This window comes from Homo sapiens, chromosome 19 (genome assembly GCF_000001405.40).
Source record: "Homo sapiens chromosome 19, GRCh38.p14 Primary Assembly".
NCBI classification, from domain to species: domain Eukaryota; kingdom Metazoa; phylum Chordata; class Mammalia; order Primates; family Hominidae; genus Homo; species Homo sapiens.
In genome coordinates, this window is record NC_000019.10 from 6,512,270 (window position 1) to 6,526,096 (window position 13,827).

The following is a 13,827-nucleotide window of genomic DNA, read 5'->3' on the forward strand; positions in this document are numbered from 1 at the left end:
GTGAGACTCCGTCTCAAAAAAAAAAGAAAAGTAAAAAATAAAAAACTAAATTCACTGAGACCCGCCTCTGATATTTGGGGTTCACATGGACATGAATCATCTCTCCCAGGCTGATCTGCAGGGCTCTGTAACTGCCCAGTGGGTTCACTTTGTCCCCTGCCCAGATAGAATGGATGTATCAAGACAGGAGAATTGCAACAAAGAGTTTAATTCATGCAGAGCTGGATGAACGGGAGACTGGAGTTTTATTTTAATTAATTAATTAATTAATGTATTTATCCATCTATCTTGAGTTAAGTTCTTGCTCTGTTGCCCAGGCTGGAGTGCAGTGGCAGGATGATAAGTTACTGCAGACTCCAACTCCCTGGCTCAAGTGATCCTCCCACCTCAGCCTCCTAGGTAGCGTGTGTGGCTTATGTCTGTGGTCCCGCTACTCTGGAGGCTGAGGCATGAGAATCACTTGAACCCAGGAGGTGGAGGTTGCAGCGAGCCGAGATTGTGCTACTGCACTCCAGCCTGAGTGAGACTCCTTTTTTTTTTTTTAAATAAAAAAAAGAGAGAGAGAGAGAGCAGATGGGTGCAGTGGCTCACGCCTGTAATCCCAGCACTTTGGGAGGCCGAGGTGGGCGGTTCAGAAGGTCAGGAGATCGAGACCATCCTAGCTAACACGGTGAAACCCCCTCTCTACTAAAAATAAAAATACAAAAAAAAAAAAAAAATTAGCCGGGCATGGCGGCATGCGCCTGTAGTCCCAGCTGCTGGGGAGGCCGAGGCAGGAGAATGGCATGAACCCGGGAGGCGGAGCTGGCAGTGAGCCCAGATGGCACCACTGCACTCCAGCCTGGGTGATAGAGAGAGATTCCGTCTCAAAAAAAAAAAAAAAAAAAGACACACACACACACACACACACACACACACACACACACACACACACACAATGAGATACACACAGATACATAGCCCTAGAATCAGACCCCAGGACAGACATAGCCAGACTATTTTCATTTTTTTATTTTTTTAGTATTTATTGATCATTTTTGGGTGTTTCTCGGAGAGGGGGATTTGGCAGGGTCATAGGACAATAGTGGAGGGAAGGTCAGCAGATAAACATGTGAACAAAGGTCTCTGGTTTTCCTAGGCAGAGGACCCTGCGGCCTTCCGCAGTGTTTGTGTCCCTGGGTATTTGAGATTAGGGAGTGGTGACGACTCTTAAGGAGCATGCTGCCTTCAAGCATCTGTTTAACAAAGCACATCTTGCACCGCCCTTAATCCATTTAACCCTGAGTGGACACAGCACATGTTTCAGAGAGCACGGGGTTGGGGGTAAGGTTATAGATTAACAGCATCCCAAGGCAGAAAAATTTTTCTTAGTACAGAACAAAATGGAGTCTCCTAAGACATAGCCAGACTATTATACATGGTTATAAACACAACACACGTCGGGCGTGGTGGCTCACGACTGTAATCCCAGCACTTTGGGAGGCCAAGGTGAGTGGATCACCTGAGGTCAGGAGTTCGAGACCAGCCTGGCCAACATGGTGAAACCCTGTCTCTACTAAAAATACAAAAATTAGCCGGGGGTGGTGGTGTGCGCCTGTGATCCCAGCTACTCGGGAGGCGGAGGCAGGAGAATCACTTAAACCCAGGAAGCGGAGGTTGCAGTGAGCCAAGATTGTGCCATTGCACTCCAGCCTGGGTGACAGAGCAAGACTCTGTCTCCATAAAAAACCCCAAAAAACAAAAAACACAATACAGACTTGGGTACACACATACTACATACATGCAATCAAACATACACAGAGATATGCAATGTATCTGCACAGCCCTACAGACAGACCTGGAGACACAACTCAAAAAAAAAAAAAAAAAAAAAAGCCAGCGCACAGACCCAGGGAGCTGACAACACACGGGCATACACGCTGGGTGCTTTGGACACAAAAGCCACACCGTAGGGAGTTTTTTCTCTCATTCACTCAAACACACATTGACCCAGACGCCCCCACACAAGGACACACACGGATGGACATACACACGACCGCAGTCCACAAGCCAGGGCAGACTGCCATCCCCCAAGTCCAGCGACCCTCAGATAAAGACAGACAAGCAGACTGACCCCAACATAGTCCCTTGAATTTCAGGCTGGGGGTGCTCAAGGCTGGTATGGAGGGGCTCACCCAGCATCAGATAGAAAAAGTCAGAAGCATCCAACATTTTTTTTTTGAGACAGAGTCTCGCTCTGTTGCCCAGGCTGGAATGCAGTGGCACCATCTCGGCTCACTGCAACCTCCACCTCCTGCGTTCAAGCAATTCTCCTGCCTCCAGAGTAGTTGGGATTACAGGTGCTGGCCACCATGCCTGACTAATTTTTTCACATTTTTAGTACAGACGAGGTTTTACCATGTTGGCCAGGCTGGTCTCGAACTCCTGACCTCAGGCGATCTGCCTGCCTCAGCCTCCCAGAATGCTGGGATTACAGGTGTGAGCCACTGCGCCCGGCCTTTTTTCTTTTTTTTTTTGAGATGGATTTTCACTTTTGCTGCCCAGGCTGGTGTACAATGGCGTGATCTTGGCTCACTGCAACCTCTGCCTCCCGGGTTCAAGCGATTCTTCTGCCTCAGCCTCCTGAGTAGCTGGGATTACAGGCATGTGCCACCACGGCCAGCTAACTTTTTTGTAGTTCTAGTAGAGACAGTTTTCACCACGTTAGCCAGGCTGGTCTGGAACTCCTGACCTCAGGTGATCCACCCGCCTCGGCCTCCAAAAGTGCTTGGATTACAGGCGTGAGCCACTGTGTCCAGCCGCATCCAACATCTTGGTGGTGCCGGAGTTCTGGTGACAGTGGAGTGGCTGGGGGGCATCCTGTGCCAGTCCCCAGGCCACTGGTGCTGAGAAAGGATTCCTGCTGGGGTGGGGCCATCACCCCACGTGGTGACCTTTTCCACGTCAGGGGAGCAGAGGGCTTTGGGATGGGTTCACCCACTCAGACCAGGCCTCATGGAGGAAGGGTGGGGTGGAGAAACCAAGGCCTCCGTAGCTCCTGTTAGTGATTTAAGACACAGCCCCCACCCCACACCAGGGGCGTGGCAGGTCTGGGGTGGGGTCTTGGTGGATGTACATGCGGATTATGGGTGAGGGCAGAGCCTGCATGTTTGGAGGGCAGAACGAATGGGGCAAGGCCTAAAGGAATCAAAGGGCGGCTGCAAGTCCCAGCGAAATTGGTGAGGGATGAGCATGGCTTGAAAACCTGGAGTGGGAAGAGGGTGCAGGACTCCGGAAGGGCAGAACCCAGAAAAGGGGCTAGGGGTTGAGACAGGACAAACCCTCAAAGGGGGAGAGGTGCCGAGCCTGAGGAGAGGGTGGTATGGACTAAGAAAAGCAGAAAAGTGCCAGGCGCGGTGGCTCACACCTGTAATCCCACAACTTTGGGAGGCCAAGGTGAGTGAATCACCTGAGGTCAGGAGTTCGAGACCAGCCTGACCAACATGGTGAAACCCTGTCCTTACTAATAATACAATAAAAAAAAAAAATTAGACGGGCGTGGTGGTGCATGTCTGTAATCCCAGCTACTCGGGAGCCTGAGGCAGGAGGATCACTTGAACCCGGGAGTCGGAGGTTGCAGTGAGCCGAGATCGCACCATTGCACTGCAGCCTGGACGACAAGAGCAAAACTCCGTCTCCAAAAAAAAAAAAAAAAAAAAAAGCAGAAAACAGAGTGGGGCACGAAGAGTCTCCAGGCCCTATTCCCAGGTCACTAATGATTGGGAAATGGGCGGGGCCTGGGAGAATGACAGGGAGGTGTGAGGGACTGAGGAGTGGGCAGGGTCTGGGAGGCTGATAACAGGGGAAGTGGGCGGGGCCTGGAGATAATATTGGGAGGAACTGTGGCGTGGGAAGGGCCTGGAGCGGACAGCAGGGGAAGTGGGCGGGGCCTGGGGAGAATGACAGGGAAGTGGGAGGGACTAAGGAGTTAGCAAGGGCTGGGAGACAAATAACTATGAAGTGGGCGGAGTCTAGGGAGAATGACCGTGGGGTAGGGGAACTGAGGAGTGGGCTGGGCCTGGGAGTCTGCTGGGGAAGCGGACGGTCCTCGAGAGAATGACAGGAAAGTGGGAAGGACTGAGGAGTGGGCAGAGCCTGAGAGGCAAACGGATGGGTACGAGGGCGGGGCCTGGGGAGAAGCTAGGGAGGTGGGAGGCGGATGACAGCGGAATGGGGCTTCGGTAGACTGACAGGATCAGTCGTGGAAGGGGCGGGCCCATCTTTCTCTTGAACCCGCGAGCCAAAGCCACGTTGGTGCTGGTGATCATCCAGGCTGAGCGCTGGGCATTCCCAGTCTCGGGCGATTTCTTGGCGTTACTTCCAGGCTGAGAGCCATGACTAGGCGAGCTTCGGCCGTGGGACCGAAGACCTCCCACCCTCAGCACTCTAACCTCCCCGACCCTGCCCTCGCTGTGCCTCGTTGGGAATCCGCCTCCGGGGTCTTCCGCGGTCCAGGAGCCGCACCTGCCGGGTGGAGACGCGGGGCTGGCTGGGGTGCGGGAGTAGGAGGTCTTCGGTCCAACCGCCTCCAACCCATTCCTGCTTCCGACGTTCTGTTCCCGCGCTTAATGCCCTGCCCGATCCAGTTCCGGCCTCCCATCTCCCCTTCCCGCGTCTCCACGCTCTTTCCTTCCCCGGTTCTGCCGTGAATGCTCCCAAGTCCTAGAGCACCGGAACTCCCCGCGCGCCTTGGCTCCTGGGCCCCAGCTCCGTGCAGTCCTGGACTGGGGCTCCAGGTCCACCAGGGGGCGCCCGCTGCCCAAGCTGGGTATCGCTGCGGAGAAAAGGGGCCCAGAGTGATTGTTCCTCAGGGGAGGGAGGGGGAGGTCCCCAGAGGGAAGGGCCTGAGTTTCCTCTTGGGGGATGGATCCTAGGTGGTCTGAGGGGTGAGTCCTGGGTTCCCTGGCGGGAGTGGATCTTGGGTGGTCCTCTGTGGGTACAGGGTGGAACTTGGGTGTTCTGAGGGGTAGTCCCTGGGGACTCCTCTGGGAGCGGGGCAGACCTTGGATGGTCGTAGGATTGGACCTGGACCTCTGTGTGTGTGATTGTGCATGCCCATAACGTGTGTTCTTGCGTTATGTCTATGACTAGCCATGGTGCCTGCCATGTATGTGTATCTACGATTGTGTCTTTGGGTGTCTGTCTCAGTGTGTAACCGTGTACGTGTGTGTTGTGTACCTCCATGTCTGTTTTGGTATGTGTGTGATGGTGTGTCTGTGTTGGTGTGTTCTAGTCTCGGTGTGTTTGGTTATATGCCCTGAATATATGTCTCTTGTGTCCTTGTGTGTGTCTGTTGCTAGCTTTTTTTTTTTTTTTGAGGCAGAATCTTACTCTGTCATCCAGGCTGGAGTACAGCGGCGCCATCTTGGCTCACTGCAACCTCTGCCTCCCGGGTTCAAGCGAGTCTCCCATCTCAGCCTCCTTAGTAGCTGGGACTACAGGCACTCACCACCACGCCCGGCTATTTTTTTTTTTTTTTTTTTTTTGTATTTTTGGTAGAGACAGGGTTTCACCATGTTGGCCAGGTTGGTCTCGGACTCCTGACCTCAAGTGATCTGACTGCCTTGGCATCCCAAGGTGCTGGGATTACAGGCGTGAGACACTGCACCCGGTCTGTGGCTAGCTTTGATGGTTGTTGTGTATCTATGATTGTGTGTCCAGGTGTGTGTGTGTGTGTGTGATTGTGTGTATGTCTGCATGGTGTGTCTGTATGTCTGTCTTGTTTTGTGTGATTGTATATGTCCAGAATGGGTGTGCCCTTTGTGTTCTGGTGTCTGTGTGTGTCTACTTGTGTCCCTCCCCCAGGGGAGTTGGAAAGTCCTTTCCAGGTAGTTACCCTGCTGGGATTCCCTTTCCAAAGCGGGTTGACTTCCCAGCACCGTGAGCTGCCTCTTCATGCTCTTGGAAGGGGTCGCTGGGTCTGCCCCAAGTCTGCCTGGGTCTTCCCCAACCCTGACTCCTCCTTCCACTGCCCTCAACAGGGAAACACCATTTCCTGCCTTTGATGTCACTAGGTACAAAAAGTTTCCTTCCTCCAAGTGGCTCTGGCCACTGGTTTCTTTCTGCGTGTGTGAAAGCTGGCCACGATTCTGTGCTTAATGTTAAAACAAAAAGAATAAAACAAAGCAAACAAAACGAACCCATGGAAAATGCAAGCATGCAAAATCATACACCATGAAACATCCACATCTTCTCACCCCAATACCCTCAATTTTTGCACATCTTTCTGAAATGTTTTATACAAACCTATTTCTGCTCTGAAACCCAAAGCGTGCATTCTGCACATAGCAGCCTGCACCTTGCTTTCGTTTCTTTTTTTCCTCACTTGGTTATTCTTTTAAAGGTTTTTTTTTGTTCCCCCGAGACAGAATCTCACTCTGTTGCCTAGGCTGGAGTGCAGTGGCATGATGATCTCGGCTCACTGCAGCCTCTGCCTCCTGGGTTCAAGTGATTCTCCTGCCTCAGCCTCCTGAGTAGCTGGGATTACAGGCATGCGCCACCACACCTGACTAATTTTTGTATTTTTAGTCGAGATGGGGTTTCCCCATGTTGGCCAGGCTGGTTTCGAACTCCTGACCTCGTGATCCACCTGCCTGGACCTCCCAAAGTGCAGGGATTACAGGCGTGAGCCACCATGCCCAGCCTCTTTTTTTTTTTTTTTTTTTTTGAGATGGAGTCTCACTCTGTTGTCAGGCTGGAGGGCAGTGGTGTGATCTCGGCTCACTGCAACCTCCACCTCCCCGGTTTAAGCGATTCTCCTGCCGCAGCCTCCCGAGTAGCTGGGACTACAGGGGCCCGACACCACGCCCAGCTAATTTTTGTATTTTTAGTGGAGACGGGGTTTCATTATGTTGGCCAGGATGGTCTCGATCTCTTGACTTCGTATCTGCCCGCCCCCGCCTCCCAAAGTGCTGGGATTACAGGTGTGAAGCACCGCACCCGGCCGCCTAGCCCCCTTTAAAGGTTTTGTAAACCATCTGCCCAAAAAAGCAATTACATAGAATAATCACGCCAAATTTTCAACCTAAAGTTCAAACAGGACAGAGACTCAACCTGATGGGTAAGGCCCATTTCACACTAAAAACCTTAATCTTTGAAAGAGTAGAGGAGGCAAAGTCTGAGTGCCTTGTTCTCTTAGCCCTTGGAGATCTCTGTCAAGAGATGACTCAGACATGTTTTTAATTTTTAAACCGATTCTGTGAGTAATAACCTGGCAGTTTTCCTTCTGATGACCAATGCAGTTATTTTCATCTTCAACAATTTTGCACCACATATTCCTGCCTGCCCCTTGTTTTTATTTATTTATTTTTGTTTTTTTGTTTATTTTGTTTTGTTTTGAGACTGAGTCTCTCTCTGTCACCCAGGCTGGAGTGCAGTGGCATGATCTCAGCTCACTGCAACCTCTGCCTCCCGGGTTCAAGCGATTCTCGTGCCTCAGCCTTCCGTGTAGCTGGGATTACAGGCGCCCACCACCATGCCCAGCTAATTTTTGTTGTATTTTTAGTAGAGACAAGGTTTCACCATGTTAGCCAGGCTGGCATGACCCACTGCACCTGGCCTTTTTTTTTTTTAGACAAGTCTTGCCCTGTCACCCAGGCTGGAGTGCAATGGCGTGACCTCAGCTCACTGCAACTTCCACCTTCCGGGTTTAAGGGATTCTCCTGCCTCAGACTCCCGAGTAACTGGCATTACAGGTGTGGACCACCACGCCTGGCTAATTTTTGTATTTTTAGTAGAGACGGGGTCTCACTATATTGCCCAGGCTAGTTTTGAACTCCTGAGCTCAAGTGATTCGCCCCCCTCAGCCTCCCAAAGTGCTGGGATTACAGGTGTGAGCCCCCGGCCATGCCTTCCTTTTTGCCCAAACAAGATCAACCCATGTACACAGTCACGTGGAGGCACCACACTCTCAGCCCACTGGCAGCAATGATGGCTGGTCCTATTGAGCACCTGCTGTATGCCAGGCACTATTCTGGCTCCCTGATTCTGGACAACAGTCCCACAAGGTGGTCACTGGTGTTAGTCTCATTTCATATACGGGGAAACTGAGGCACAGAGAGATGGAGAGATTTCAAGGTCATGTAGCCAGCAGAGGCAGAGCTGGGATTTGAAGCCAAGTGAGTCAAATCCTATGCTCTGGTGCTGCTCAACTGGAAACACATCGATGCCCGCATGCATCCTCCTGAGTACACAGTATCACATCAGAGACACTCAGTCCCAGAGTAGCAGGATGTGTGCCTCAACTTCACAAAGCTCACTTGCTGTGCACAATCATACCTTGCAAGCTGGGAGTGGTGGTTCCTGCCTCTAATCCCAGCACCCTGGGAGGCTGAGACGGGAGGATCTCTTGAGGAAATGCTGTGGTCGTTTCCTCAACTTCAGGAGTTCCAGACCAGTCTAAGCGAGAATGTACCTTGCAACTCTTTTTTTTTTTTTTTTTTTTTTGAGACGGAGTTTTGCTCTGATGCCCAGGCTGGAGTGCAGTGGCACAATCTCGGCTCACTGCAACCTCTGCCTCGTGGGTTCAAGTGATTCACCTGCCTCAGCCTCCCAAGTAGCTGGGATGACAGGCGCCCGCCACTGCGCCCAGCTAATTTTTTTGTATTTTTAGTAGAGACGGGGGTTTCACCATGTTGGCCAGGCCAGTCTCGAACTCCTGACCTCAGGTGATCTGCCTGCCTAGGCCTCCCAAAGTGCTGGGATTACAGGCGTGAGCCACCATGCCTGGCCTGTACCTTGCAACTCTTACACAAAACCCCAGGTGCACACACTCGGGTGCCAGTCTGTGTTTTCCAGAGACCTGGATGTAGCTTTTCCAGCTACTCGACTCATTTGGATGATGTAATTCCCCTCTCTGTGTCTCTTTTCTCCTCAACATGTGTAAACACTCCTTTATGGCTCTAGATCAATCTCAGGCTGGGTGTTCATGCCTGTAATCCCAGCATTTTTGGGAGGCCAAGGCAGGAGGATCACTTGAGTTCAGGAGTTGGAGACCAGCCTGGGGAATATAGCGAGACCCCGTCTTTAAAAAAAAAAAAAAAAAAAAAAAAAAAAAGGCCTGGTGCTGTGGCTCATGCCTGTAATCCCAGCACTTTGGGAGGCCGAGGCGGGAAGATCACGAGGTCAGGAGACCAGCCTGGCTAACATAGTGGATCCCTGTCTCTACTAAAAATACAAAAAATTAGCTGGGCGTGGTGGTGGGTGCCTGTAATCCCAGCTGCTTGGGAGGCTGAGGCAGGAGAATCGTTTGAAGCTGGGAGGCGGAGGTTGCAGCGAGTTGAGATCACGCCACTGCACTCCAGCCCGGGCGACAGTGCGAGACTCCATCTCAAAAAAAAAAAAAAAAAAAAAAAAATAGCAGGGTATGGTAGTGTGCACCTGTAGTCCCAGCTATTAATACATGGGAGGCTGGGGCAGGAGGATTGGTTGAGCCCAGGAGTTCCAGACCAGCCTGGGCAACATAGTGAGACCCCATCTCTACAAGAAATAATAATAAGAATAATAAAATAGCTGAGTGTGGTGGCACGTGCCTGTAGTCCCAGCTACTCAGGAGACTGAGGTGGGAGGATCACTTGAGCCTGGGAGTTCAAGGCTGCAGTGAGTCATGATTATGCCACTGTACTCCAGCCTGGCCAATAGAGCGAGACCGTGTCTCAAAAAACAATAAGATGCACTTCACTCCACACTTTCCTTTCCTCTTTTCTTCAGTTCCATCTGGCCCCTAGCTCACTCCGTAGCTGTCTGACTCATGCAAATTGCTCCGCTCACACCACTAATGCTCTGTTAGGCTTCACTCTGCCCTGGGGTAGATAGAGGACCCAGGCCAGGTAAAAGTTAACCCTCGAAGAGGTCACTGGCTACATGATGGGAGACACACTACAAGGACCCTGAGAGGAGAAGATTGTTGCTGGGAAACAATCAAGGTGGACTTCCTGGGGGAGGAGTCTGTTCACTCAACCTCAGAGGCAGAAGAAGGAGGGCCCCCCTGGCACAGCCTGGGGTGCTGTCCCTTCCAACTACTTCCTGTGCAATCCCTCCCTCAAGGCCTGTGATGGTGAGGGTGGAGAGTGAGGCCCTTCCCCAGTGGGTGAGGAAAACCAGGGCCCACGCTTACTTCGAGGAGACAGCTGAGCACAGAGGTGTGACTCCAGCAAACGTGAGGTGCTAAGAGGGTGACGTTGAGTGCTCCACGGTGGGCGGGGCCGCCTGGCTCAGATGTCCCGACCACAGTGCGTCACGGCGCTCCCTGACTGCGGCCTGAGTCTTCCCCAGGCGTTGAGGTCTTGTTTCCCTTCCCTGGGGGGCATGTTCAGAGCTCCGCCAAGCCCCCCAGCACAGATAGGAGTTCAGACCAGTCACAGTGAGACCTTGGCCAAGAGACCTCACTTTCTGGAGTTTTAATTTCTGTGCCCACGTTTTAGGGATGATGTTGTACCACAGAGCTGTAGAGAAACGTCAGTGACCATCACAATGACAGGTTGCCTTTATTGAACATTTACTATGTGCTCGGCACGGTGCTCAGAGCAAGCTTTCCACTATTCTTTGAGATCCACTATGATTCCCATTTAACACATCTGAACAATGAGCTGAATCAGAGAAGTGAAGCAGCTTGCCCAAGATCACACAGCAAAAACTCCCACTCTTTCTCTCTCTTTTTTTTTTCTTTTTTTTTTTTGAGACAGAGTCTTGCTCTGTTGTCCAGGCTGGAGTGCAGTGGCACAATCCCCACTCACTGCAACCTCTGCCTCCCGCATTCAAGCGATTCTCCTGCCTCAGCCCCCCAAGTAACTGGGATTACAGGCATGTGCCACCATGCCCAACTAATTTTTTGTATTTTTAGTAGAGACGGGATTTCACCATGTTAATCAGGCTGGTCTCGAACTCCCGATCTCAGGTGATCCACCTGCCTCAGCCTCCCAAAGTGCTGGGATTACAGGCATGAGCCACCATGCCCAGCCTGTCTTTCTTTTTTTATTTTTGTTTTTATTTTAAAGACAAGGTCTTGCTCTTTTTTGCCCAGGCTGGAGTGCAGTGGTATGACCACAGCTCACTGGAACCTCTGCCTCCCCAGGTCAAGCGATCCTCCCACCTCAGCCTCTCTGAGTAGCTGGGACCACAGGTGTGTGCCATGACACCTGGCTAATTACTTTTCTTTTTTTTTTTTTGAGATGGAGTCTTGCTCTGTTGCCCAGGCTGGAGTGCAGTGGCGTGATCTTGGCTCACCACAACCTCTGCCTCCCGGGTTCAGGAGATTCTCCTGCCTTAGTCCGCCAAGTAGCTGGGACTACAGGTGTGTGCCACCATGCCTGGCTGATTTTTGTGTTTTTAGTAGAGATGGGGTTTCAGTATGTTGGCCCGGCCTTGTTTTTTTTTTCTTGTAGAGATGGGATCTTGCTATACTGCCCAGGCTGGTCTTGAACTCCTGGGTTCAAGCGATCCTCCTACCTTGGATTCCCAAAGTGTTCGGATTACAGGCATGAGCCACTGTGCCCATCCCACACAGCCAGAACTCTGAAGAGCTGGAATTGAAGACTCCACAGGCAGCAAACATTTTTCTGAAAAGGACCAGACAGTAAATATTTTGGGCTTTGTGAGCTAGTCAGTCCCTTTTCACAACTCTTCAACTCCACCATAGTGTCAGGAAAGCCACCATAGACAATACGGAATGAAGGGAGGATCACTTGAGCCTGGGAGTTCGAATGAATGAAGGCCAGGTGCGGTGGCTCAGGCCTGTAATCCCAGCACTTTGGGAGGCCAAAGAGGTGGATCAGGAGGTCAGGAGATCAAAACCGGCCTGGCCAAGACGGTGTAAACCCTGTCTCTACTAAAAACATAAAAATTAGGCATGGATGCGGGTGCCTGTAATGCCAGCTACTCAGGAGGCTAAGGCAGAGAATTGCTTGAACCTGGGAGGCAGAGTTTTCAGTGAGCCGAGATCATGCCATGGCACTCCAGCCTGGGCGACAGGGCGAGACTCCATCTCAAAACAAAAACAAAAACAAAAACAAAACCAGAAAAGACAATATGGAATGAATGAGTGTGGCTGTGTGCCAGGCACACTTTATTTATGGACAGTAAATGGGAAAGTCATATCATTTGCACATGTCAGGAAATGTTATTTTTCTTTTGACATTTTTCCAGACATTCAAAAACAAAAACAATTAAGTGAAAGGATCTTCATCTACAAGGCTGTACAAAAACTGGCAGTGGGCCATATTTAGCTTTTGGCTGGAGTTTGCTGATCCTGGCTCTAGAGTGTTCTTAACCTTTATGCTATAATTATTTCTCTTTTCATTTTTTTTTTTTTTTTTTTTGAGATAGGGTCTCACTCTGTCACCCAGCCTGGAGTGCAGTGGTGCGATCCTAGCTCACTGCAGCCGCAACCTTCTGGTTTCAAGTGATCTTCCAACTCAGCCTCCTAAGTAGCTGGGACTACAGGCATGAGCCACCATGCCCAGTGGCATCAGGATCTTTAAATCTTTTTAAAATTAATTAAGTTTTTTTTTTTTTTGAGACAGAGCCTTGCTCTGTTGCCCAGGCTGGCGAGCAGTGGTGTGATCTCGGCTCACTGCAACCTCCGCCTCCCAGGTTCAAGCGATTCTCCTGCCTCAGCCTCCCGAGTAGCTGGGATTACAGGCATGCACCACCACACCCATCTAATTTTTGTATTTTTAGTAGAGACGGGGTTTCACCATGTTGGCCAGGCTGCTCTCGAACTCCTGGCCTTAAGTGATCCTCCTGCCTCGGCCTCCCAATGTGTAGGGATTACACGCGTGAGCCATCACGCCCGGCCTAGAGTGCTCTTAACCTTTATGCTATATTTCTTTCTCTTTTCCTTTTTTTATTTATTTTATTTATTTTTTAAAGATAGGATCTCGCTCTGTTGCCCAGGCTGGAGTGCAGTGGTACAATCATACCTCACTGCAGCCTTGACCTCCTGGGCTCAAGCAGTCCTCCCACCTCAGCTTCTTGAGTAGCTGGGAATACAGGCATGAGGCACCATGCTCAGCGACATCAGTATCTTTAAATCTTTATTCCTGGCCTGGTGCAGTGGCTCATGTGTGTAATCCCAGCATTCTGGGAGGCTGAGGCGGGTGGATCACTTGAGGTTAGGAGTTCAAGACCAGCCTGGCCAACATGGAGAAACCTTGTCTCTACTAAAAGGAGGCAGAGGTTGCAGTGAGCCGAGATGGTGCCACTGCACTCTGGCCTGGATGACGGAGCAAAACTGTCTCAAGAAAAAAAAAAATCTTTATTCCTGGTTGGTCAGCTTCCTTGGAGAGCGACCTTCTACCTATGCATCTTCTGGATCCTGGATGTGGAGGGAGTAGAGGCAAGCGCTGAGGGCATGTGTGTGTCTTAATTTCAACATTCACATTCCAGGTTCAATGAACACTCCTGTTTCCCACTACCTGCCATTTTTTTTTCTCTTTCCAGAAACCCTGCCATTTTCCTTTCTCTCTCTTTTTTTTTTTTTTTTTTTTTGCTTTTTTTTTGAGATGGAGTTTCACTCTTGTCGCCCAGGTTGGAGTGCAAAGGTGCGATCTTGGCTCACTGCAACCTCTGCCTCCCGGGTTCAAGCAATTCTCCTGCCTCAGCCTCCTGAGTAGCTGGGATTACAGGTATGTGCCACCATGCTGGCTAACTTTTTTTTGTATTTTTAGTAGAGGCGGGGTTTCACCATGTTGGCCAGGCTGGTCTTGAACTCCTAACCTCAGGTGATTCACTCACCTCCGCCTCCCAAAGTGCTGGGATGACAGGTGTGAGCCACCGCGCCCAGCCCGTTTT

At 50.9% G+C, this 13,827-nt stretch overlaps 6 annotated features.

Annotated features, from left to right (window-relative positions):
• Positions 3,863–4,403: an enhancer, noted in NCBI's record as "H3K27ac-H3K4me1 hESC enhancer chr19:6516143-6516683 (GRCh37/hg19 assembly coordinates)". NCBI's record gives its function as "activates a minimal SCP1, AML or CMV promoter by ChIP-STARR-seq in primed H9 embryonic stem cells {active_cell/tissue: H9 hESC(primed)}" and the evidence as "EXISTENCE:reporter gene assay evidence [ECO:0000049][PMID:30033119]".
• Positions 3,863–4,434: a biological region, named in NCBI's record as "H3K27ac-H3K4me1 hESC enhancer GRCh37_chr19:6516143-6516683".
• Positions 4,265–4,434: a silencer, noted in NCBI's record as "silent region_9957". NCBI's record gives its function as "represses an Ori minimal core promoter by ATAC-STARR-seq in GM12878 lymphoblastoid cells {active_cell/tissue: GM12878}" and the evidence as "EXISTENCE:reporter gene assay evidence [ECO:0000049][PMID:35858748]".
• Positions 5,745–5,794: an enhancer, noted in NCBI's record as "active region_13827". NCBI's record gives its function as "activates an Ori minimal core promoter by ATAC-STARR-seq in GM12878 lymphoblastoid cells {active_cell/tissue: GM12878}" and the evidence as "EXISTENCE:reporter gene assay evidence [ECO:0000049][PMID:35858748]".
• Positions 5,845–5,974: an enhancer, noted in NCBI's record as "active region_13828". NCBI's record gives its function as "activates an Ori minimal core promoter by ATAC-STARR-seq in GM12878 lymphoblastoid cells {active_cell/tissue: GM12878}" and the evidence as "EXISTENCE:reporter gene assay evidence [ECO:0000049][PMID:35858748]".
• Positions 9,822–10,071: an enhancer, noted in NCBI's record as "active region_13829". NCBI's record gives its function as "activates an Ori minimal core promoter by ATAC-STARR-seq in GM12878 lymphoblastoid cells {active_cell/tissue: GM12878}" and the evidence as "EXISTENCE:reporter gene assay evidence [ECO:0000049][PMID:35858748]".